Genomic DNA, 26,849 nt, shown 5'->3' on the forward strand with positions numbered 1-26,849 from the left:
CTTTTGCTTCTCGCAGCATCGGAAATCCCATCTCTAGAAACTTCTTCCTCTTACGAGTAGGGCGAACATAGAAAAGTCTCTGCAAGTCTTGTCAGAGGAGAGAGAATCAGAGGCTGATGTCAGAGTGGCTGTGACTGGGAAGGGCTCTGAGGGTGGGGAGGAGAGGCACTGGGTACCCAGGACCCAGTGTGCCCATCGCATGCTCCTATGGGTGACACACATCAACGACTGCTCAGAACAACCCAGGAGTTGCTGGAACTCACATCATCAGCATGGCAGCACCAATGAGTGAGGGCTTCCTGATCTCCTTACTGTGGCCTGGGCCTCAGGCCATGAGTACTTCGGATGATTTCAGTGGGATCCTCCTCATTGCCCAGCATGAGAACTGGCTGCAAACTGGAAGGCACCCTGAGTAAGACAGGCGCACCCTTCCTGCACAAGTGGGTCAGCTCTCGAATCCTATAACATGGCTCAGGGTGCTGTGAGAAGTGGGCATGGTGGGGGTACTGAGGAGCATGGCCCTGTTTCTGCTGCCCCTGGGAATCTCTGGGCAGCCAAAGAGGGGCTGTGTTGGGCTTCCCGTGTGCCCAGAACTGGCCTGCACAATGACCGGGGCACAATTACAGATAATTCTGCCCCTTTCCAACCAATTTGGATGTTCCATTATGAGTCTTTAGAGTTGGACCAGGCTACACCAAGTATCATTTTGTTTTCCTGACCTAGTTTAATGGTTTTTTTTTTTTTTTAAATAAGAAACTGAATTTGTAGCTCTTTTCACCCTAAAATGATTGCACATTGAGCTGAGCTGGAAGAGAGACTTCTGGTTCTTTTTTTTTTTTTGGAGGCAGGGTCTCACTCTGTTGCCCAGGTTGGAGTGTAGCAGTATGATTGCCCCAATCACCCTGGACTCAAGTGATCCTCCTACCTCAGCCTCCAAAGTAGCTGATGGGTGTGCACCATCACACTTGGCTAATTTTTCTTATTTTTTGTAGAGATGGGGTTTTGCCATGTTACCAGGCTGGTCTCAAACTCCTGGGCTCAAGTGGTCCTCCTGCGTCGGCCTCCCAACATGCTGGGATTATAGGCGGGAGCCACTGTGCCTGGTCACTTCTAGTTCTTACTTGCTTCATTTTGCAGAGGAGCTCTGTGCTGCCGTGGCCAAAGCACAGGCTTTGGAGGCCTGGAGTCCTGGGGTTCTAATTCTCAGCTCCTAACTGTGCGAGGGATGCAAGCTTTCAAAGTCTGAGTTTCTTCCTTTCTAGAAAGGGAAGTACTCCAGGTTGCTGGAAGGATGCTGTGAAGTGGCAGCGTGGGGACATGGTGCTGTTCTCTATCATCTGTTGCCTGCCTCAGCTAATGCCTGTCTGTGCATGGAGTGATAAGAGCGAGCCCAGGTGGAGCGAGGGCCTTCCATGCCAGGGTGAGCGGCCAGCCCTCCGACTCTGGGCTATGTTCCCTGGGCTGTGTGCTGCATTCACACATCACACCACTGTGGTCACGCCCCCAGCTCCCAATGCTGCCGTCACACAAGTCAACCAAGGACGCAAGTCCTATCCTCTTTTCAATACACAGAAGAAGAAAACAAGCTTTGAAAAACTATGAAACCTGACATGGTTTGAAGCTAGGCTGTGCCATTCCTGTGAGACCTGGGGAATGCCCTCAATCCCTCTCAATTTCGTTTCCCTCACCTGTGGAATGGGGATGACAATAGAGGCTGGCCCATGAGATGCCCGGTGGGAGGAAACCAATGCCCAGCCAGCACTCCCAACCAGCAGGCACTGAGGATTCTGGCCGGGTCCTTGTCACCACAGGGGTGGTGCTGTGAGAATTCGAGGTCACTGTCTTTTTCTATCTGAGTGCTGGGACTCCGCAAACAGGCATGGCCTATAATAGACAGTCACTTTGGAGGTGCTTTGCTCCATGTCCCTCTCCCTGCTCCTCCATGAGGCAGGAACCTCATCTGCTTACTTTTCTTTCTTGGTTCCTGGTTCTCGACGCAGGTACATGGTAGGAGCTAAATACTCGTTGAAGAAATGAATGTAGAGGGATAATGCATTCTTGTGACCTTTCTGTATCATCTCCTCCTGGGAGGGTTGAAAGAGCATCAGCTCCAGATGTGGCCTTGGGTTTAAATCACATGGGCTCCCTGGCCATCCTTGGTGGCTCAGAGCTGGCCACTGACCCCTTGGGCCTGGTGTCCTCAGGTGTGAGTATAGGATTCGTGACCACACCTGTCTCACAAGGTGGTTCTAACCATCCAGGGAAGAAGTGGAGGATGCATTTCAGCAATCTTCCTTTCTTATAAAGACACCCAGTGGGAATCTAACTAGCATTATTCATTTTATTATGATTTTAATACCTTTTCCAAAGAGAGGAATTCTTGTTTTTCATTGGCTGCATCTGTGTAAACATATGTGTTGGACATAAATGCACTAAAATTAAAGTTAAATCCAATTTCTAAAAACTTACAAAAACTAAATTATGCCAGTTCCCCAATCTGCCTTTCTATTTCAGTCTTCAGAAGCTGATACTTTGGCTCAGTAAAGCCAGGATTGTGTGCTCACTAAGGTGTCTTTAGGGTGGCTATCTCACAGAGCCCGAGGCTCCCCTGCACTGCTGCTGGCTGGCTTCTATTTTTTTTCTTTGCAACTTATTTGCTAGACTAATTCTAATTGCACCTTGCTTTGAATCTTAGAGACAAAGAATGGGGCCAGGTTCAGTGTCTCACACCTGCAATCCCAGTACTTTGGGAGACCAAGGCAGATGGATCACCTGAGGCCAGAAGTTCGAGACCAGCCTGGCCAACATGGTGAAACTCCATCTCTACTAAAAATACAAAAATTAGCTGGGTGTGGTGGTGGGCCCCTGTAGTTCTAGCTACTCAGGAGGTCTGAGGCAGGAGAATTTTTTTTAACTTGGGAGGCGGAGGTTTCAAGAGCTGAGATCGCACCACTGCACTCCAGCGTGGGCAACAAAGTGAGACTCTTTCTCAAAAAACAAACAAACAAACAAACAACTGGATGAGAATCCCTTACCCAATAATAGGTATCAGCCAATGCTTAGGAATTTTCTCGAAAGACAGTTGTCTCCAGGAAGTACCTTCTCTTAATTCCAGGACCCCAAGAAGGTCGCCCCAGAACACCTGCCATTACTGGGGCTTCCTCTTCCACCTTGTTAGAAACGGGTTTATTCCATCCTACTTCATGGCAAAGTGGATATCACCAGTGCTGAGAAGGAATGCTCCAAGCTGCATGCGGCAGCTTTGAAAGCAGTCATGTCCATCCTCTTTTCTCTATCTACAAACTGAAGCCGATGGCCTCTGGTACACAGCTCGGAGGCCAAGGCTAACAAAAAAGTTTGTGAAAAAATATTCCAACCTTGCTGCTGGTGGAAACAAGGAGTGTATACCCAGGAAGCAGGTTCCCTATGGCGTTCCTCCACGGGACTCTCCCTGGGAGCCTCGTCCGGGAGGTCAGGGCGCCCTAGTCAGTGGGAGGTCGGCCAAGCCACCAGGCCTGCCCGCAACAAAGCTCCGACGGCCAGGCCTCAGATTTGACCTGTTTTGCTCCCTCAGTTACACCGCCTGCCTCATCGCCAAGTAAGGCCCCCTGCCACCATCACGGCCAGGTGGCGGCGAGGGGCATCAGAGAGCAGCTGTGCGCCTTATGCACACCTGTGCAGAAGGAAGAACCTTAGCTCACTGCAGCGCCACGCCGGGGACGGCCACCCCTGCCTTCGGTCCCATCAGGGCTCCTCCACCAGCCGTTCCCCTGCCTTGAGTCCGGGGGCACATCCCCAGCCCTGCCTTTCCCGGCCACAGGTCAGGTCGGCGGACAATATACGTCCTGTCCCCCTCCGCTTCACGCACTGCTCTGCCTTCCCCTGCCCGGGTGTGACCCCTCTCCCCCTCCCCCTCAACTACTCGGAGGCCCAGGACAAGTCTGCCACTCCCACCTCTCCCTGCCTGAGTCCCGGGGCACGTCCCCGGCACACCATCCCCTCTCTTGGGTGAGAGTCTCCGGGTGACTCCCCGCAGCTCCCCCTGCTCTCACCTCCACCGGCCTCCCCCCGCCGTGGTTCCCGCGGTGCGCCCTCCCCAAGTCCCTTCCTCCCACTGCCCTGGGTCCCAGAGCACATCCGCCGGCGGCCCCCACATCCCTCTGCCTGGAGTCCCGGTCCCCGCGCACCCCCGCCCCCGCCCTGCCTTCACCTGCCGCAGGCCGCCCGCCAGCCCCGCTGACCGCCGCCCCCGCGCTTCGCTGGCGCCAGCCTCTCGATGGGTCTTGCACTTTGATTATTTGTGTTAGCAGTTAATTTAGCACCGTGGCCACGTGTGCCAAAGCTGCCTCCACTTCCTCCGGGCTCCCAACAAACGGCACTTTTATGAGATCCTTTCAAAGCGGCTCCCAGGCTGTCTCCCGCCTCCTGGTCCCCGCCTCTCGGTGCAGACTCCATTTCTCTGCCCTCCGCCCTCCACCGGGGCGCCCCCTCTGCACAGGCCTTATGGCAGCTGCGATCTTTCCTGCCGTTGCAGGAAAGGAGCTATTTCTGGCAACTCTGTCCCTCCACCCAGGGCACTCAGCCTGATCTAATGGAGATTTACCGAGCAGGTCCCTGCACTCCCCAGGGCACTCTCCTGCGCGCAGAGGCCTCGTGGGCCCTGGGTCAGAAAATTTCAGAGTCTGGGGTCCTAGCAGATGGCTGACTGCTATGGCACCCTTGGCAGGCTTTATTGTGATTATTTTGCAGAATATTTCTGATCCCTTTCACCTCTTCTGTTAACATCCCACTCACCTCCCAGGTCTAACTTTCCTCTGCCTCTTCCCTCGCAGAGTTCTGTGCTAACACTGCCTGGGTGTCTCCAAGCCTGTGTTTTGGTCTAAATCCCTTCATACCCAGTGCTTCTTCCTAGCTGAGATGAGATATTCCGCACCTCAGAGAACTAGGTTGCTTCTCCAAATAATTCCAAAGAGGAGGTCCTTGAGATTCATCTGAGTTTTCTAAGCTCAGGCTCTTTTTCTCTTTCAGATAACCTGATTTCCCCTCTCCTTAGATTTCTAATATGAGTGATATTCCAGAATAATAATACTCTGTAGGCTTTTACTTATGAAGAGAACTCTAGTCATGTTTGCAATAAACACCCCTATGCTCATGGAGCTAGTGTGGGGAGGGACTTTGCAAGCCCAGCGCTGCTTGAGAGGGCTCAGGAAGGGCTTCCTAAGTGCTCAAGCAGGGGGCCCTGGTGCTAGCTGGCAGGCACACAGTGGACAGCTGGTCTTTTCTGGCCTAAAGGATCACAGTGAGCCTGGGCCGATTTTAGCATAAGCTGGGGGCTCCAATCTGCTTCACTGTCAGCGCAGAGTGTCTCAGCCCTGGATGAGGCCCAAATCCCTACACATTTGGAACCTCACCTCATTCTTGCATGGCTGGAGGCTGGGCCCCTCCCATTGTCAGGGAAGATCTGCCTGCACTGTGACAGCCCCTCAGTGGTGACCTGTGCTCTGTGTTGGGCCTGGCTGTGCACAGAACCCAGCTGACACGCTTTCTCTCTACTCCACCGGTGCACTCAAATGGAATGCCTCACCATAGGATTCGTACACAGTCATCTACCCTTTGGCAAAAAGTCCTAATTCCCTCAAAATGAATGTGTTTTGGCTGACCCCAACTCTTGAAGAGAGACAGGGGAGTGTGTTTGTGTATGGAAATGTACATGTGTGATATCTGACTAGGGAAAATGAAAGTGATCTTCAGTATTCACAATTCTAAAACTACTTCTGTGAAGGTCACAGTGACCTCCAATCTGCCGAATTCAGTGTCCAAGTCCTCATCATCTCTGTAAGTTCTCTGGACTATTGGACACAGTTGCTCAGTTAGGCTCTCTCTGAAACTCTTTGACCTCAGCGGTTGTGAAGCCCCTCCTTTCCCCACCCACACCTCCCAGCTGTGTAGGGGTGTAGGCACGCACTCCCACAACTGCCTTTGTGCAGATGACTCTTAAAGCTAAACTTTCAGTGCTAAATACCAGGCTCCTATTTCTAACTAAATCAGACATTTATGAGGGCTTGGAATGTCATCTTAAGGCAACATGTTCACTTATTTTTTTGTTCAAAAAACGTTGAGTGCCTAGACATCTGTGTTCTTGATGTTAGGGACACAGCAGTGAAAAAAGCAGCGAACAGTGAAGTTCCTGCTCTGATAGGGCTGGAGTCCTCTGGAGGCAGGGTTTCAGCTGACCCCCAGCACAACCAGGCCTCTTGATGCCTGGGAGCAAACGCTTGAAGTCAATTTAATTTCCCCTTCATTTTTATTTCTCATGTCTGATCGAGCCGTATTGGTACTTCCTGTACAGTTTCTTTCCAATCCATCTTTGCTTCTCATTCTCCTTCAACACGCACTGCTGGAATCGGGCTTCTGAATTCCTGGTTCTAGTTCCTTCAGACCTTCCCTCTTCCTCACAACTTTCATCCATTTCCCCCCAGCTGTGAGATTACTTTTCAAAAAGTAAAGCTCTGATCTGTTCATTTATTCATTGTGCACACATGGGTGGGTACGTCCTATGTGCAGGGCAGTGGGCTAAGTGCTGAGGTGACAGAGAAGAAAAGAGACCCTGACAGATGTCCCAGTTTACTTGAGAGGAAATGCGCCAAAAGCTAAAGTAAAATACAGTAGGAGCTCTGCTGAGATAGAAATAAGATTCCCTGCCATGTATGAGATTAAACATTCTTTAAAACCTGATACCCAAGGCTCCCCACCACCTGGACCAGACTTAGCTTGCTAACAGGTCTTCCTTTACCCAGCTTCCTGTCCACCGGCCACGCCACCTCTTCCCGAGCGTGCCCCACCTTTCCTGCCATTCTCTTGTTGCCTCTGCCCTTCTCTTTGTCTATAATGCCCTCCCCTTACCCTCGCTACCAATTAAAATTCTATGAATCCTCTGAAACCAAGCTTATATTCCACGTTTTCCAAGCAGCTTTCACTCAGATTTCCCCAACTGAAAGTCTTATCTGTTTCCCAAACTCTTGTAGCATTTCATTTGGATCTCTTCCATGATACAGCTAGAGACTAATATTAAAGTTATTTGCATTCTGTGCTACACGATAAGGTCCCTAAGTGCAGAGCCTTTCTTCTTTATCTTGTTATTCTCTGCTGTAACTACATAGCACATCAGCACACAGAGGCAAGCAGTGAATGCTTTCAAGCGAATGGCTAAATGAGCTCATGGAAGAAGTCAGCTTTGTTGGGGCTTTATCAGGGAGAGTTATATCCAGGGTTGTTGATGTGATGGCGAAGGGCCTTTCTTCAAAAGAGAGAGAGATTATAAAGGTATAACCCAGGGGTCCCCAACCCCCAGGCCATAGATTGATGCCGGTTCATGACTTGTTAGGAACCTGGCCACACAGCAGGAGGTGAGCAGCGGGCCAGCAAGCCTCACCACCTGAGCTCTGTCTCCTGTCAGATCAGCAGTGGCATTAGATTCTCATAAGAGTGCGAACCCCATTGTAAATAAACTGTGAATGCGAGGGATCTAGGTTGCACACTTCTTATGAGAAAGATGATCTGAGGTGGAACAGTTTCATCGTGAAACCATCCCACCCACTGTCCGTGGAAAAATTGTCAAATTGTTTTCCTTGAAAACAGTCCCTGGTGCCCAAAAGGTCGGGGACTGTCGGTATAATCCACTGAGAAAGGAGACAGCAACATTATGGTCAGTATAGAGGGCCTCTGAGTTGGAGAGGCTGGAACCTTCAGCTGAGTGTAAGATTTCAAATATGATTGTATCTGGGACACCTAGAAAGAAAAATAGTTTATTTGAGGTGAGCTAAAAGAAATGGTTTCACCTGTGTGTCACAGCGAACCTAGAATAAGCTAGCCCACAAGAGCAGTAACCCCTGGAGTTGGGCCTTCTATAGCGGAGGGAAGTCAGGGATGGAGGCCAAGTTGGGCTGATTTTCCTGCTGCTGCTAAAAGGAAGCCAATTAATGGGAGAAGACTTGAGCACAATCCCCCACCTAGGTCTACTTATAAGCCAAAATCTGGCTTCACTCTTACTAGACTTAATTTGATTGGAAAAATCTATATCTAAAACAATTTCACAATCCCAGATCACCGGGGACTAAAGGGACTAAAGGGAAGTAATTACTAGAAGCTTCTAGAAGTTAGCTTGATTCTTTTAACCAGTTCACTGAATAATGCAAATTCTTTTACAGTCTCTGCTGTATGTGATTTGTACCCTGAATTTTCCTCATGTTCGTGGAGAGAGAGTTAGGTGGTGAAAGGCGGGGACCCAGGGGTGCAGTTTTTGGTGAAAGAGTCGTGGAGCCTGACTTTCCAAAGGGTGCAGATCACGGCTCCTGCAGCAGCAGAGCTGGCCTCACACTGTGGATAAGGAAAACAAGTCCTCAGCAGCTCAGCAGCGGCACAGCTAGTCCTCATTGCTCATTATACTAAATGAGGAGCAGCAGTTGCCAGGTGGACCTTTCAGGATGCTCTGGTTGGAAGTAGCTGGAAGCCTACCTCCCACTGGCTTAAGTGGTAAAGGTAGGTGTTACATCTTTGAAAGTCCAAAGGGAAGGCAGGCTGCAGGATGGTGGCAGCCTCTACAGGCTCTACAGGCAGCAGATCCAGCAGCCAGTGGAGCCTGGTCCACCTGCCTGGTCCAGGCCCATCCTTGGACTGGTCACAGTCCTTAGGGGATGTTGAGGCTGATGGCTGCAGGCAGAGTTCCAGAACCATTACTGACAAGAGAGACAAAGATGCCACACTTGACTGAGACAAATAGGGCTCACTCCTGGATTTCCTCAAGGTATGAGGGCTGCCTGGGGGGTTTCCTGCAAAAGGGGTAGGAGGAAGGAGGAGGGATTCCTGGGAGGCCCGAGAGAATGGCACGGAAAGTGGAATGTGGTTCCTCATGGGTCCTCAGCCAGATCACACTTGGGAGTCACAGGCATTCAACAATTTACCAAATAAGTTGGTCAAGTTTTAGGAACTTTAAAGACAGGTATTTTACTTTCTAAGCACCGCCTATGGATTTTTAGGCTGTCCTCATGTCCTAGGTGGGCCTGGCTGGTCATTTCTGCTGCCCACCCGCCATTCCCCATCTCTGGCCTCAGTACCTGCTCTCTCAGTCTGGGTGTTCTGTTTGCTTTTCTCTTTTTCCCTCAGCCTTTTCTCTTGCACAGATACATGTACCTGGCACACGAAATAGCATTCAGTTCTGAGTTGAAGCAGATAGAAAAATTGGAGAGGTGCATGAAAACCTTTTCCATTCTGATTCTTTTTAGTAATAGCTGCCCTTTCCTGAGCAACCACTGATGCTAGGCACCATACATAACATCATCCAGCAGCTGGCAACAGCCCCACCAAGGGCCCATTAAGTGACCTGCCTAAAATCCTGTAGCTCGTAAGCTGTCAGGGTTCTGGCTTCAAACCTCACGCTTGTATCTTTTATAACCTTCTGCCAAAGTCTGTCTCATCAAAGGAAATTTAATATCACATAGCTTTTCACCAGCAGCATAGGTGGCTGAATAAAGAAGGTCAGTGTTTATAATCCACCCGAGAGGCCGTGGTGTTTCCTCATTGAGCCCCATCATACATTTACTGCAGTTTCTCCTGGAACAGTGCACTCTGTACAGTGGGAGGATTTGGCTACATTCCTCACTGGCACAGATTTGGATAGACCAGGGGGCCAACTCTCCCTTTAACACATTTCTATACATGGTTAGACATATGATAACCTGGTTACATGCCAGCTTCTCCAGGAAGGGGCACCCTATGTCCTGACGCCACCATCATGGAAGGCTCACAGTGGGAAGGCCTTCATGTCTAATGAGTAAAACAGGAAAGACACAGACAAGGACTGCCTGGGGCAGTGGCAGAACCTTTTCAGGGCCTGTGATTTATAACCAAGACTGTAGCGCATGCTGACGTTGCATATGCTGTGCATGGACACTGCCCGGCCGAGAGCTTTGCCTTTGAAAAGATGACATGTCCGGGTGTGTGAGGAAGGATCCAGTGTCTGTGACTGGTCATGAAGGTGTATCCCAGGGAAAGCTTTCACTCCACTTCCTGACTTTGATAACAAAGAGTAACTTAGTTTTATTCACCAAGAAGCACTGAGATTGAGCCCTGTTCTTCATGTTCTCCCAGATTCTATGAAGTACTCTGTATCTTTTCAGTAACTTGCTATTTACTTTATATTGGCCAAAGTAGATTTCGGTTGTTTGCAATCAAAGAGAATGAACTAATACCATGATGAAATGATAGGTAGATGATGGTTCAGAAAGCACAGAAATATGATGTTTCATCACTTGGTTGTCATAAACAACACCCACTTGACATGCTAGCCTGTGTCTCTACGAAGAAGCCACCTGGGAGATCTGGTCTAGAAAGCCATTTCAGGCATACATTGTTTAAATCATTCACCCTGAGAGAAAGGCCCAGTGGAAACAGCTTGCAATAACACATCCAGAATGACCTATTGGGCCATTTCTTACTTCCTTACCAGGATTTGTGCCTCCAGGAGCCATCTGGCTCTATGAAACCTGCCTGCCTACCTGCTGTAAACTACCTCGGAGCCTGAACAATCTGAGTAAAGCTGTATTTATGAATACAGGCAAAGAAAGAAAAAGGTAATAGTTCTTGAATGAGGGTCAGGGATGGGATTCCATAAAAAATATATTTGTGTCTCAAGAGCATATCTGCAGATATTGTAATTCCCTTCCTCCTCTATTCCTTTCTTTTTTTTTTTTTTTTTTTTGAGGTGAAGTCTCGCTCTGTCACCCAGGCTGGAGTGCAGTGGTGCGATTTTGGCTCACTGCAACCTCTGCCTCCCTGGTTCAAGTGATTCTCCTGCCTCAGCCTCCGGAGTAGCTGGGACTACAGGCGTGCATCACCACACCTGGCTAATTTTTGTATTTTTAGTAGAGACGGGGTTTCACCATATTGGCCAAGCTGGTCTTGAACTCCTGACCTCAGGTGATCCACCCGCCTCAGCCTCCCAAAGTGCTGGGATTACAGGCATGAGCCACTGTGCCCGGCCTTTTCTTTACGTTAGGACAACCAGGGGGTCTATGCTAAGGCCTTAGGTCACCAAGCTGGCCAAGGGAAGACCTCCCGGTATGGCGGCTCTGGTTATAAAGTGGGACAGGGTTACTTCAGAGCTGTCAGAGTCTTCAGAGATTGTGCAGCACCCACTCTGCACCCAGTAGGTGGAGACCCTGAAGCCCAGAAAGATGAGGCAGCCCCTGCGGCTGGCTCCCTCTGCCCTCCAGGCCCGTAGCAGCACCTCCTGCTGTGTTGGCCTCATGGTGGTCATGGTCCAGAGGTGTATCCTTGTGATGGGGCACTCTGCTCAATGTCACTGAGCAGGTAGATAGACATACATGACACACCCTAAAATATACAGAGTTGAGAAAAGGCCATGTTGGTCAAAAAGAAAGGTGCACCTACTGATGGCTGTCTCTCCTGTTCCCATGACATTAGCTAGACCCTACCAGGCACAGCTCCTGGAGGCACCTGTCATCAATCTGCCCTGAAATTTAAAAAAAATGGTCTGAGGCCTTGGTCAGTTCAGAGTATATCATTGCACTTATCTGAACACAAACAGACTGAAGGAGGTTATAGAGAAAGAAATATAACTTGAGTGTGCATTGAACTGGATTTATAGGTGTGAGGTTAGAAGTAGAATCGTAAGAAGTTTGGTGGTTAGAGTTAATGGAGTGTTTCCTTGAGCTGATTTCCCCCCTGTAGTTGCAGGCTTTGCATTGCTGGATATCATTTTATACTTTCTTGGTTTGAATGAAAGGTTTTTCCAATTTTGTCTACATTTGAATGCCAGAGTTGAGTTTCTGGTGAGGAAACGATGGTCAAGATTGGTAGTCATTGATGAAGCTGTCGTTAGAAAGGAAAACCAAGCCCAGAGCCACTCCAGCAAGACCTATCTTTTATGGATTTATTTATTATTTTTTAAAATTTATTCTAAAATTATGGGATACATGTGTAGAACATGCAGATTTGTTACATAGGTATATGTGTGCCATGGTGGTTTGCTGCACCTATTACTCATCTTCTAAGTTCCCTTCCCTCACCCCTCACCCCCCAACAGGCCCTGGTGTGCGTTGTTCCCTTCCCTATGTCCATGTATTCTCAAAGTTCAACTCCCACTTATGAGTGATAACATGTGGCATTTGGTTTTCTGTTCCTGTGTTAGTTTGCTGAGGATGGTGGCTTCCAGCTCCATCCATGTCTCTGCAAAGGACATGATCTCATTCCTTTTTATGGCTGCATAGTATTCCATGGTGTATATGTACCACATTTTCTTTATCAGTCTATCATTGATGAGCATTTGGGTTGGTTTCATGTCTTTGCTATTTTAAATAGTGCTGCAATAAACATACATGTGCATGTGTCTTTATGGCAGAATGATTTCTATTCCTTTGGGTATATACCCAGTAAAGGGGTTGCTGATTCAAATGGTATTTCTGGTTCTAGATCCTTGAGGAATCACCATACTGTCTTCCACAATGGTTGAACTAATTTACACTCCCACCAGCAGTGTAAAAGCATTCCTATTTCTCTACAGCCTCACCAGCATCTATTGTTTCCTGACTTTTTAATAATCACCATTCTGACTGGTGTGAGATGGTATCTCATTGTGGTTTTGATTTGTGTTTCTCTGAGGATCATTGATATTGAGCTTTTTTTCCACGTTTGTTGGCTGTGTAAATGTCTTCTTTTGAGAAGTGTCTGTTCATATCCTTTGTCCACTTTTTGATGGGGTTGTTTTTTTCTTGTAAATATGTTTAAGTTCCTTGTAAATTCTGGATATTAGACTTTTGTCAGATGGGTAGATTGGAAAAATTTTCTCTCATTCTGTAGGTTGCCTGTTCACTCTGATGATAGTTTCTTTTGCTGTGCAGAAGCTCTTTAGTTTAATTTGATCCCATTTGTCAATTTTGGCTTTCGTTGCAATTGCTTTTGGCATTTTTGTCATGGAGTCCTTGCCCATGCCTATGTACTGAATGGTATTGCCTAGGGTTTCTTCTAGGGTTTTTATGGTTTTGGGTTTTACATTTAAGTCTTTAATCCATCTTGAATTAATTTTTGTATAAGGTGTAAGGAAGGAGTTCAGTTTCAGTTTTCTGAATATTGCTAGCCAGTTTTCCCAGCATCATTTATTAAATAGGGAATCCTTTCACCATTGCTTGTTTTTGTTAGATCAGATGGTTGTAGATGTGTGGTGTTATTTCTGAAGACCTATCTTATTGTATATTGATATTAAGGCAAAAATACAGCATGTGCTACAGCCGTAGTTAAAAAAGAGGAAAACCAGTCACTCCTCTGGGTTTTCCCAAATTGTTATGCTCACAGGCTTCCGTGAGATGTGTCCTTCTTCCCCAGTGTCTCCGCTATGACTCCCAGCCCTGCCTTTGTGGGTGCCCAGCTGCTCCCAGGAAAAGCTGGGCAAGTCCTTCTGTCTGCATTCACACCTGGGACCCCTTCCTATGCCCTGCTGTGGCTGTGAGTCTTATTTCCTAGTGAGTCGCTATTGCAAGGAAATGTTCAGAGGATTTTTAGGTGCTGCTATTTGTGTTTTGACCTGGTTTGTGGAATGATATTGCTTAAATCATTTCTAGATTAGCTTCAAACACTGTTAGAATCACAGTCCATGAGGAGTTGTGTCTGATCTGGTTGCAGTATATAAAGAATTAGTAAAAAGTCTGTTCCCAGATACTATGTTGAGTTCCACAGAGAAGGGCTTCCTCACATAGATCTGCATGAGGTGTTATGTTCCTATCAAGATATTTAAGATGCTTTGACTTCTAAAAGAATAACTGGCTTTTTTTTAAAATCTCTCTGGGGGAATTTTCTCATCTTTTCTACTCCCTGCTTAAGTTAAAAACCACTATGAAGAGCTCTGAAGTTTATAAAGGTTTTGACTCTTAAAATCTGCTGGTCTTGATGTGAAAAGTGCTAAATGATATGGAATGAAACTGCTGGCTGTGCCTGGTGTTGCAGCCAGGCATTTTATTGTTCATTCAAGGAGACAGCTGTGCGGTCTGAGGTCAGCGAGGGAAGATGGCCTGGGTCTGTGAGGGTGCTGTGGGCTGCTGGCTTCTGAACATGCTTGGCCATGATCTGGAGTCCAGCATTCCCAGAGGGAACGGAGCCTACAGGGTCACGTTTAAACACCACAATGGAATTGAAACTTTTCCTTTAGGCTATTTAATTTGTATGTAATAAAAGCTATATTGCTTCTTGTTAAACCTGCATGAAAACAAGTTAAATTTCCCAGAAAACCTCATAAGGGATGGAGGTAGTGAAGGGACCTTGGAGATGGATGAGCAGATGTGAGCATGTGGCATACTCATGTTCCTGCTGGGACCCTGAGGGCTCCTCTCAGGGGCTCCCTACTCCCAGTGTGGACACTGGGTCTTCTTCCTGCCACCTGTGAAGCCCACACGGTCACATGTAAATCACCGGACAATTTCCCTTGGGTGCCTTGAGATTTCCCTACTGTGGATAAAGTGTTCTGTTTCTTGGGTGGAAGGAGCCCCACTCACTCTCTGGGGCAGCCAGGCTGCCGGGTACAGCTGCCCCCAGTGCTTTCTGCCCACTGCAGATGTTAGGTGAATCAAGATAATTAAAACCTGAATTACAGGATGCTTGTTCTCAGCTCAGACCAGGAGCTTTATTCAGATTTCATTTGCTGAGACACCTCTTGTGCCCCAGACATTGCCCTAGTGCAGCTGCATTCCATCCTCAGCAAGCTCAGCAAGGTAGATGTGGTTATGTCCACTACACAGGCAAGGCAAAGGAGGCAGAGAGGCTAGGCAGGCTGACCATGTGTCTCGCTTAAGAAGTGGTGAAGACAGGACCTAAATGCCAGTCTCCTTGGCTAAACGTTATACTTTTCCTCCCAAAGTGCACTGCCTCTCACAGATGGTGGAGGAGGGTGCAGAAGGGGCTCACGTGGCCAAATGGCCATGGCCATAGGAGGTCTGTGTGTTCCCAAACCTCTACCAACCCTGTCCCCCATCATTTAAAGTGATGATCATGATACCAACATTCTTAGTGGGCAGTAGTGCAAAGTCAGAGAAATAAGAAATAAGATGACTAATGTGAGAAAAGCCGGGGTGGTGTCTGGACAGGGGATGAGTCATTTATGCTCCACATCAGGTGGCTTGGAAACCATCACCCGCACACACTGCTGCTACTTTATGTTGGTGTGTGCAGCTGGCGTCTAAAGACTTCCTGCAGGTAGTCTTCCTGCAGCGGCTGCCCACCTGGCCCTGCTGTGCACCCTGTGCCTATGTGAAGCTTGGAGTCTAGCCTCACGCAGCCCGAGACTCCCAGGCTGCTTCATCCCCCATCTGCTGGAGAACCTGTTGCAGCTACAGAAATCTGAATCACTTGAGAAGCTTGTGTGATGGGCCTTGTTGCCTCACAGCTGCCTTTTTCCCGTGCTTCTCTCACCTGGGATGGATCAGCCCTTGAGTCTTCTCATGGCAAAGGTGAATGAAGCCTGGTTTTTCGCAGTTATCATCCTCTGACTTTATCATCCCCAAGGAAATGATCTAGGAAAGAGTGAGTACTTAATGATAAGAAAACTCACCATGTTTTATGATAGAGAAAAGCCCAGACCGCTTTTCGAAGTTGAATTTGCTACAGAAAAAGCATGGAAGGAAGAAGAAATAAGGTACACACAAACCTTGCCTGCTCTGCCCCAGAACTACAGGCCCTGGTGGGGCCTGCTCCCTGTCGCCAGCAAAGTTGCTGAGAGAGCACACGCCAGCCACGGTGGTGAAGTCATAGAAATGCTATGCCCCCACAGGCCACAGGAATTGTGGAAAGATTTGTGTAAATATCTCATGCATTCTTGTGATCTAAGCTTTATGGAAATAAAAACCACAATCAAAAAGCCAATGCCACATTTATTCCACCTCCTTCCTTTTCTCCTGTAGAATAAATTCATAGAACAGTTTATGGAGCAGCCAAGAAAATACGTTATTTCAATTTTATTACCAGGAAGACATGCACCTAAGTGCTCAGCAAGACTAACCTAAACAGGGTCCATTTCGGAAGAAGATGAGCAGATGCTGCTGGGCATCCCCTTAGTCATGAAGACAAGAGTGGCTCTCGCAGAGGCCACCCCACAGCCCCTGTGTCCAGATGGGCTTGGTAGTTACCAGTACTCAGAGAACTTCCAGCTTCCTTTCCTCTTCTCTCCTTTCTTAACTTTGTGGTGGATATTGGAGTTGGGACGTCTCACACACTCAGAGCACAGCTGGGATGTTCAACTTGCTGAAGCTTCCCTGGCACCAAGTTTAAAGAAACCACCGAGGAGCACATGGTTTCCCACACAGGCTCCTGGTGGGGCATGCCCTCACCAGGATTCCAGCAGCAGACCCCCAGGAGTCCTGGCCTGAGAGTGAGGAGGGGCCCTCTCTGGAGAGGAGCTGTGGACCCATGCTCACATCCATCCTTCCCACTTACCATAACACAGCAGGGAAGTCAGTGTCATGAGAACACATTTCCACCCTAAGTTTTTAAATGCACCATGCTAAAATTTTCTTTGAATTCTTGCCCCAATTTTTCTGACTTGTAATGTGAAACAACAGACTACTTCCTGCTTCTCTCTGCCCTCCTTTTCCCCACTCACATTCCAGTTATGTGTGTCACCCATATATTGAATGGACTTAGGAAAGTGCAAAGCAGGAAACAATCCAATTTTAATTAATCAATTGATGTTTTCTTCATTGCTCTTGAGGAGATCTCAGGCAGAAATCATAGTTTTCCTATTTACTTCTAACTATTCAAAGTCAAGCCTGAATTAAATCCTAACTTTGATCTCTCATCTAATTGAAAGTGTCTCCCCTCCCTGACCCCATCTCAGTCCTTATCTAGCCTGGGGACCTGGCACTGGAAAGGAGAACATTTCTTCACCCTTTCCTTCTACTCTGGAGTTAGGGGCTGGGAAGGAGGAGAGTAGGTGGCAGGAAGGTCTCATTTGTCTAGTGCAGTTATTATTTGACATTGTTACCTCTCCAGGGGCTCAGAAGCTGCCTTTTCCTTACCCATTTCAGAAGGAGACACTTGCGTGGTCTACCTGACCACTTCAACCAACTCTCAGCTTTTGCTGTAATAGCAGCACTGTGGAATGTTGCTCATGGAGATATGGGCCATTACTTGCCCTGTCAGTAGAAGTGCAGGTCCTGCTCTAGACTGTTCTCCTTGCTCTGCTGTCAGGGCAGATTAGGTAACCTATCATGGTTAGACTTTTTTCAACAAGAAGTAGTCACAACTGTCCAATTCCCCAAGACCTCTCTGACAGGCCTTTCATGTTGCCACAGGGCCTGTGAAGTGCCCTTATTTGGCTTGAGGTACGTGTGTCTTGAGCACGAATATCATAGAACCCCTTCCTCCCCATTAAAACAAAAACTCTTCTGAAAAATCCCCTCTCAGCAAGGCAGGTTAGGAAAATGGCAGAGGAAGCATAGGCAGCTCCTGCCCCGCCACAGAAATGTCAAAAACAAGCGGAAACTGTGAGAACTCTGGAAAACAGTCAAAGGTTTACAGTAACCAAAAGAATGCTGAATCAAGGAAAAGACAACTTTAAAAAAATGGGAGGAAAACTTTGTGGCATTTTTGTTTGCTCTTATTCCACCCCCTTTCCAGCTTGGCAGCAGTTTTGAGGAAGTCAGCTTGCATTCCCAGGGTGGAATTCTGGTCTCTGACTCTAGGAATCCTATTTACAAATTTTTGTATTTGCCTGTTCTCACCTGTCTGAGGGCTACCTGAAGGACTGACACAAGATGCTTGTCTCTGTTTTGGCTCACTCAGAAATGATTTGGGGTAGAAAAGCAGTGGGCATTGCCCCAAAACACTGTGTGGCAAACAAATAATCCATAACCTCCTGGGCAAAAGATTACAATTAAGACATGTAATTGAATATTTAAGTTTCCCTGAGAGGGAAAGATAGAGTTTCTTCATGAAATTAAAAGCATTTAAAAGTACCCACGTATACTGCGGAATTTAGAAAGCAACATGTACACCCAGGGCAGGACACATGCACTGAAAAGACTTGAGATTTAAAGGTTTGACTTCTGGCTGATCTGTAGGTTCAGTTCCAGCACAAAATGAAGGCTGAGGCAGAGTTGTAAACAGATCAGTTAAATGTTGAAAGAGTGACCCAGCACAGTCAATTTGCAAAGATGAGGAGAGATCTTTTGTTTGTTTTAAATTTTTCAGTTATGGGCATTCAAGGAAATCTCTATCAAAATACTGGCTGAAAATAAGCTAAAGAAACAGAGCCTTCATTGACCACACATGACAAGAAATACAGTCTTTGAAACAAAATAGTTTGACAAACTCAATGCACAAATAGATTACAGATTATTGCAGCCTTCAATCAATAAATAGCAAACCCTAAAGGAGAAGAATAATTTGATTTCTAGAGTTGCCATATTATTATATAAAATTTCCAGTTTTTAACCAAAAGGTTGCACATAAAAAGAAATAGTTAAATGTGGCCCATTCAAATGAATAAAATAAATGGACAGAAACCATCTCTGAGGAAGTCAAACCACTGGAGCTATTAGAAAGAGATTTAAGTCATCTGTCTTAAAAATGCTGAAAGAGCTAAAGGGAACCATAAACAAAGAACTAATGGAAACCAGAACAATGCTGTATGAACAAATTGAGAATATCAATAAAGGCATAGGAATTACAAAAGGGAACTAAATAGAAATTCTGAAGGTGAAAAGTATAATAATTGAAATGAAAAATTTATTGGGCCAGTCACGGTGGCTCATGCCTGTAATCCCAGCACTTTGGGATGCCAAGGTGGGCAGATCACCTGAGGTCAGGAGTTCGAGACCAGCCTGGCCAATATGGTGAAACCCTCTCTCTACTAAAAATACAACATTATCCAGGCACGGTGGTGTGCACCTGTAGTCCCAGCTACTCGGGAGGCTGGGGCAGGAGAATCACTTGAACCCAGGGGGCAGAGGTTGCAGTGAGCCAAGATTGTGCCATTGCACTCTAGCCTGGGCATTGCAGTGAGACTCCATCTCAAAAAAAAAAAAATTACTGGAGGATTTCTACAGTATATTTGACCAGACATAAGGAAGTCAGTCAACTTGAAGAAGGGACAATTGAGATTATGTAGATTATAAATGGAATGGAAAGAAAAAGAATGAAGAAAAGTGAATAGAACCTAAGGGACTTGTAGAACACCATTAAGCAAACCAACATATGCATTATGGGCATCCAAGAAGAAGAAAAGACAGAGAAAGAAGAGGGCAGCAAGAATATTTGAAGACAGAAGGGCTGGACATATCCCAAATTAGATAAAAGATATGAATCTACAAATCCAAGAAGCACAACACATTCCAAATAAGATATATTTGAAGAGATCCACATTAGACATGGTATATAATTGTTGAATGCCAAAAAAAAAAATCTTGAAAATAGAAGGAGGGAGTGACTTGTCAAATAGAAGAGATCCCCAGTAAGATTACTAGTAGACTTCTAGTTGCTAACCAGAAACCATGAAGGGCAAAAGGCAGGGAGATGACATTTAAAGTCAAATGAAAGAAAAAGACTGTCAACCAAGAATTCTATATTTGGCAAAATTATCTTTCAAAATTCAGGGAGAGATTAAGACATTCCCAGATAAACAAAAGCTGAGGGAGTTTGCCACCAATAGACCTGTCTTATAAGAAATGCTAAAGGAGTGAAATGATAAAACACTAGTCAGTGACTTGAAACCACATGAAGCAATAAATATCTCCAGGAAAGGTAAATACATAGGCAAATATAAAAACCAGCATAATTATATTTTAGGTTTTCAATTCCACTTTTAATTTCTTACATGATTTAACAGACAAGTGCATAGAATAATTATAAATATGTATTAGTGGGCATACAATGTATACAAATCTAATTTGTGATGACAACAACAACATAAATGGGCAGCAGTTGAGCTGTACAGGAGCAGAATTTTTACATGCTATTGAAGTTAAGTTGCTATAAATTAAATTAAAACTAAATTATATATCACTTAGATGTTAATTATATTTTCTATGGTAACAAAAAAATCTAAAGAATATACATAAAAGAAAATGAGAAGGGTATCAAAATGGTTTACTACACAAAATTACAAATAAAAGAAGATAATAATGGGGGAAATGAGAGACAAAAAAGGCATAAAGAAAACAATAGCAAAATGTCAGAAGTAAGTATTTCCTTATTAGTAAGTCCTTCCTTCCCTACATTCAATTACATAAAAGGTAGATGGATTAAACTTTCCATTTCAAAAGGCAGGTATTGACAAAATGGATTAAAAAAATTTGCTGTCTATGAGACAATTCAGATCCAAAGATCCAAAAACACAATGAATTGAAAGTGAAAAGATGGAAAAGCTACTCTATGCAAATAGTAACCAAAAGAAAGTAAGGGTAGCTATATTAATATCAGACAAAATAGACTTTCATCCAAAAACAAAGAGGGACATTATATATTGATAAATAGTCAATTCATCATGAAGTAGCAATTATAAACATACATGTATCAAATTAGAGCCCCAAATTACATGGATAGAAATGAAGGGAGAAAGAGACAGTTCACAATAATAGTTGAAGACTTCAGTATCCCCCTTTAAGTAATGAATGGAATATCTACACAGAAGATCAACAAGAAAGTAGAGGGCTTGAATAACTATAAACCAAGTAGACCTAAGAGACATATATGGAATGCTTTGTCAAACCATAGCAGAATACTCATTCTTCTCAAGTGCACAGAGCATGCTCTTGAACAGACCACAAGTTAGGCCATAAAACCATCCTCAGTAAATTTAAAAATATTGAAGTTGGCCAGGCACGGTGGCTCACACTTGTAATCCCAACACTTTGGGAGTCCAAGGCAGGTGGATCATGAGGTCAGGAGATCGAGACCATCCTGGCCAACATGGTGAAACTCCATCTGTACTAAAAATATACAAATTAGCTGGGCATGGTGGCATGTGCCTGTAGTCCCAGCTACTCAGGGGGCTGAGGCAGGAGAATCACTTGAACCCAGGAGGCCGAGGTTGCAGTGAGCCAAAATCGTACCACTGCACTCCAGCCTGGTGACAGAGTGAGACTCCATCTCAAACAAAACAAAACAAAACAAAACAAAACAAAACAAAACAAAAAAATGAAGTCATACAAAGTATCCTTTCCAAACACAGTAGGATAAAACTAGAAATCAATATCAGAGGCCAAATCTGAAAAATTCACAAATATGTGGAAATTAAGCACGGTCTTAAACAACCAGGGGGTCAAAGAACAAATCATAAGGGAAATTAAAAGATACTTTGAGATGAATAAAAGTGAGACTGTAACATACAAAAACTTGTAGTGCGCAGTAAAGATCAGAGGGAAATATATAATCCTGAACGCATACATTAAAAAAGAAGAAAGATAGAAAATCAATAACCTGACTTTATACTTAAAGGTACTAGAAAAAGAAGAGCAGACTAAACCCAAGGCTAGCCAGAAAAATGATATAGTAAAGATTGGATCCAAACCAAATAAAATAGACAATAGAAACCAACAGAAAGACTTAATGACACCAAGAGTTGGTTCTTTGAAAAGATCAACAAAATTGGCAAACTAATAGCTAGATGTACATGAAAGGAGAAGATACAAATAACTAAAATTAGAAATGAAAATGGGGACTTTACTACTGATCTTGCAGAAATAAAAAGGATTATAAGAGCATACTATGAATAATTGTATGCCAACCAATTAGATGACCTAAGTGAATTGAACAAATTCCTAAAGACATACGAATAATCAAAACTGATTCAAGAAGAAATAGAAAATCTTGAGATACCTATAAACGAGTACAACAATTGAATCAGTAGTAGGAAAATTTTCCACCAAAGAAAAGTCCAGGGTCAGATGGGTTTATCGGTAAATTTTAGCAAGCATTTAAAGAAGAACACCAATCTTTCTCAAACTCCTCTAAAATATGAGAGAGGAAACATTTATTAACTGATTCTATGATGCTAGCATATTTTTTATACCAAACCCAGATAAAAACATCACAAGAAAAGTACAGAACAATGTCCCTTTTGAATAGAAATGCAGATATCCTAAACAAAATACAAGTAAACTGAATCTAACAGCATACTAAAAGGATTATACACCATGATCAAGTGGGATCTATTCCAAAAATGCAAAAGTAGTTCAACATAGTAAAATCAATCAATGAACTATACCACATAATTAGAACAAAGGGGAAAATGCATAATATTGTCACAACTGATGCAGAAAATGCATGTGACACAACTTAATACCCTTCATAATAAAAATTCTCATTAAAGTAGGAATATAAAGAAATTTCCTCAATGATATAAAGAACATCTATGAAACACCCACAGATAACATCACATCAATGGTGAAAGACGGAAAACTTTCCCACTCAAGAACAACACAAGGATGCCCATTTTCACCATTGTTATTCAATATTGTATTGACAATTCTAGGCACAGCAATCAAGCAAGAAAAAAAGATGTCCACACTGGAAAAGGAAAGCTATCTCTATTTTCACAGAGAGGTATTTTCTACATATACATACACATGTATTTTCTACATATACATTCTATATGTAGAAAATACCAAAGAATTCTTAAGAAAGCTACTAGATCTAATAAGTGAATTCAACAAATTTGCAGGGTATAAAATTAACACACAAAAAGCAGTTGTGTTTCTGTATACCCCCAATGAAAAATACAAAAAGGAAATTTAAAAAATCCATTTACAATAGCATCCAAAAGGTAAAATACCTAGGAGTAAATTTAACCAAGTAAGTGAAAGACTTGTACACTGAAAACTACAAAACATTGCTGAAAGAAATTAAAGAGAAGGTCTAAATAAGTGGAAAAGAAATCCATATTCATGGACTGGAAGACAATATTGTTAAGACATCAATTCTATCCAAAGAAAACTACAGATTAAATGCAATCACTATTAAGATTTTAATAACATTTGTGAAGAAATGGAGAAGTTGACCCTCAAATTCGTATGGATTTTCAGTGAGCCCCAAATAGCCAAAGCAATCCTGAAAAAGAAGAGCAAAGTTGGAGAACTCACACATCCCCATTTGAAAAGTGCTACATACAACAGTAACCAAAACAATGTGGTACTTGCATAAGGATAGACTTATCAATCAAGGAAATAGAATTGAGAGCCCAGAAACAAACCATTTGTGGTCAATTGAGTTTTAACAAGGGTGTCAAGACTTTCAATGGGGAAAGAATAGTCTCTTTAACAAGTGGTGCTAGGTCAACTGGCTATGCACATGCAAAAGAATGAAGTTGGACCCCTTCTTCACATCATATACAAAATTAACTCAAAATAGATCAATGGCCTGAATATAAGAACTAAACTCATAAAATTCCTAGAAGGATACATAGGGATATAGCTTCGTGATCTTAGATTTGACAATGGATTTTTAGATATGACACAAAAAGCATGTACAAAAAATAAAAACTAGATAAACTGGGCTTTATATGTATTTAAAAAATGTGCATCAAAGGACATTATCCTTTGATGTGAAAAGACAACCTATGAAATAGGAGAAATATTTGGAAATCATGCATCTGACAGGCATCTGGTATCCAGGATACATAAAGAACTCTTACAACTCAACAACAGAAGACAATTCAATTGAAAAATGGGCAAAAGAGTTTCTGCAAAGGAGATACATAAATGGCCAACAAACACCAGAAAAGATGCTCAATGTCATTAGTCAATAGAGAAATGAAAATCAAAACTACAATGAGTTACCATTTCATACCCATTACAATGGTGATAATTAAAAAATAGAAAATAAAAGTGTTGACAAGGATGTGGAAAAATTAGAACCCTTGTGCTCTGCTGGTGGGGATGTAAAATGATTCAACCTCTGTGGAAAACAGTGTGGTGGTTCTTAAAAAGTTAAACATAGAGTTAATGTATGACCCCACAATTTAACTTCTAAGTATATACCCCAAAGAATTGAAAACAGGTACAGAAACAAGTACCTGTAACATGCATTTTCATAGTAGCATTATTCACATAAGCCAAAAGGGGGAAACCACCCAAGTCCGCCTACCAACAGAAGAATGGACAAACAAATTGTGACATAGTTATACAATGAAATATTATTCAACCACAAAAAGTAATAAAATACAGCTACATGATACAATGTGGATGCACCTTGAAAACATTATGCTAAGGGAAAGAGCCAGACATGATAATTTACAATCCCATTTATATGAAATAGACAAATCCATAGAGACAGAACTCACATTGGTGACTTTCAGAGGCTGAGAGGAGGGGGAAATAAGGAGAAACTGCTTAATGGGTAAGGGGTTTTACCTTGGAGTAATGGAAATGTTTTGGATCTAGAGAGAGGTGGTGGTTGTGCAGTGTGTACTAAATGCCACCTAATTGTTCACTTTAAAATGATTTAACAAAATCCCCTCCCAATCTACTGCTTCCACTTGGAGCCTTCCCTTAGGCTGGGAGTGGACGGTGACCAAGTGTCCCAGAACAGGTGCTGTTCTACCTCTAAGAGAGTCTGTTGTTTTTCTTTAGAGAGCGTGACCAGTGCTGTTCACCTGGGGCCTTGGTGAATGATCCTGTTACTGTGCTCTGTGATCTGTGTTGAGGCTCCCAAGCAGGGGCTCCACTCTCCAGAGGGAGGTGTGTGGCAGAGTGGAGCCTGTGACTATCAGTGAAATGGGATGTGATGTGCTCCTTGGTCTCTCAAACAAATCTTACACTCTTTCAACTAATCGAATAACATAATCCAAGCCAGGGCCAGCACCATAGCCTGATTTTGCAAGATCACATGAAAAATTGGATATTACATGATAATAGGTCTTAGGAGTGTTAAAGGAATAGAGGCTTCAGAGGGCTTCTCCAGCATCCACACATCCCAGTTTCCTGTCTTTTATATATGGGGAAACTGAGGCTCAGGCATATTAAAAATATGCCTGGAATCTACAGAGACAGAAAGAAGATTAGTGGTTGCCTAGGGTTGGGGTGATTGATTGTAAATAGGAAGTGACTGCTTACGGGTACAGGTTTTTCTTTCTTAAAACATTTTTTTTTTTTTTTGAGACAGGGTCTCTCTGTGTTGCCCAGGCTGGAATGCAGTGGTGTGATCACAGCTCACTGCAACCTCTGCCTCCTGGTCTCAAGAGATCCTCTCACCTCAGTCTCCAGAGTAGCTGGGACTACAGGTGCCTATCACCATGCCTGGCTAATTTTTTGTATTTTTTGTAAAGACATAGTTTCGCTATGTTGCTCAGGCTGGTTTCAAACTCCTAGACTCAAGTGATCTGCGCATCTTGACCTCCTAAAGTGCTGGGGTTACAGGCATGAACCACCAAACCAGGCCGAGTTTTCTTTAGGGATGGTGAAACTATTTGAAAATTAATTGTGGTGCTGATCGGACACCTCTATGAATATATTAAATTCTGCATTTTAAATGAGTGAATAGTATGGTACATGAATTATATCTCAATAGAGCCATTATATATTATTTTAAAAAATCTGTTGGGCTCAGACATGGCTAATTAGTGGCAGGGCAGCTTTCCAGCTCTCTTACCACGACAATGACCTTTCTCTGTGGGCCTCAAATGACCCTTTGTTGTAATACCTGTGTCTTTTGCCAAGACTGGCTTGAATAATTGCTTTGATCCTCTCAATCACTTCCTCATGTGACAGCCTCATGAGTCCACCCCTATATGACAAGTCAGACTGTGCATGCTCCACTGGGCTTCATGTTCAAAGTGGCCAAGATCATGCCTAGACCACCTCTATCAGAGTGAAGACAGCTTTGCATTTTGGAAACAATATCTACCCAGGAAGCAAATAATGAAACATTCAATTTTCAAGGCTCTCCCAATGGTAATGGATCCTGTTGGGAAAGCCCTCTGGACATGTGCAGGAGAGGGTCATGTGTGATGAAATGAGAAAGGACACAGCCAATGAGGAGACCACTTCTGAAACTACCTAGACACAAACCAGATTCAGGGGCCATACGTCTCTTCTTGAAGTCACGTTCCCAAGCTCTCTGGGCAATTGGGAAGTACATTGAAGAAGCATCAGTCAATTACTGCTAGCGAAATGTTTTGTATAAACAGCAACTTCAAAGCACATGGAAATCCCATAGGCCCACAGCTTGTTTTTTTTCAAACACAAGGGCCTTGCAGCCATTAGGCTGACCTGTGTTATAAATGGCTCAGGTCCCGGGGTGAGGCTGCCCTTCTATCTGAGGTCCCTCTGATTGCGGTTTTCACCTCCAGAGCTGGGTCCACACAGCACAAAGCCAGATGGAAACTCGGCAACTGCACTGACTCGGTGAGAGAATCCACTCAGGAAGAGGCCAGTGTGCATCATGCAGGCCCCTGCTTGCTTTCCAGGAGGAATCTGCACAAAGAAACTAGAGAGCTCTCACATGCGCCAGCATTGCCTGGGATGTTTTTCATCATGAGGGATCTGGTCGGTCTACTTGCAAGGATGTCACCTTCCAGCAGAGAGGAGCCATACCGGGTGTAAGATGATTTTCCTCAAAATAGCTTCTTCTTTGTACCTACCTCCAACACACTTCCTTCTCTGTCTGCCATCAGTTCTGGGGCAGGCGGCTGTGCTCTTCTGACCTGAGTTCAGTGGTCTGTTGCTTATTTTATCTCCCCAAACAAAACAAATTTCTCTCCATTTTATCCTATTTCCTACCAGATAGGATCTTTTGTTTTCACTCACTGCCTCGTCAGCTTCCAAGAATTTTTTCTACTTGAGAACTGTCGAGAC

General features: G+C 44.4%; 1 long non-coding RNA gene across 3 annotated transcripts in view; it reads left to right on the forward strand.

The window, feature by feature from the left end:
* Nucleotides 1–26,849, forward strand: part of LOC105375821 (uncharacterized) — a 127,805-nt gene that overhangs the window by 46,008 nt on the left and 54,948 nt on the right. Inside the window, exon 1 of one of the 3 annotated variants that reach the window (XR_001745893.1) lies at nucleotides 10,388–10,628. The exons of 1 other annotated variant lie outside the window; for it this stretch is intronic. This is a non-coding gene — a long non-coding RNA (uncharacterized LOC105375821). Of the gene's footprint in view, nucleotides 1–10,387; nucleotides 10,629–25,551; nucleotides 26,594–26,849 lie in introns of those variants that run through there. One more of the 3 variants, XR_001745892.1, reaches the window with a different exon arrangement.

Source organism: Homo sapiens, chromosome 8 (assembly GCF_000001405.40).
Source record: "Homo sapiens chromosome 8, GRCh38.p14 Primary Assembly".
Classification (NCBI taxonomy): Eukaryota; Metazoa; Chordata; class Mammalia; order Primates; family Hominidae; genus Homo; species Homo sapiens.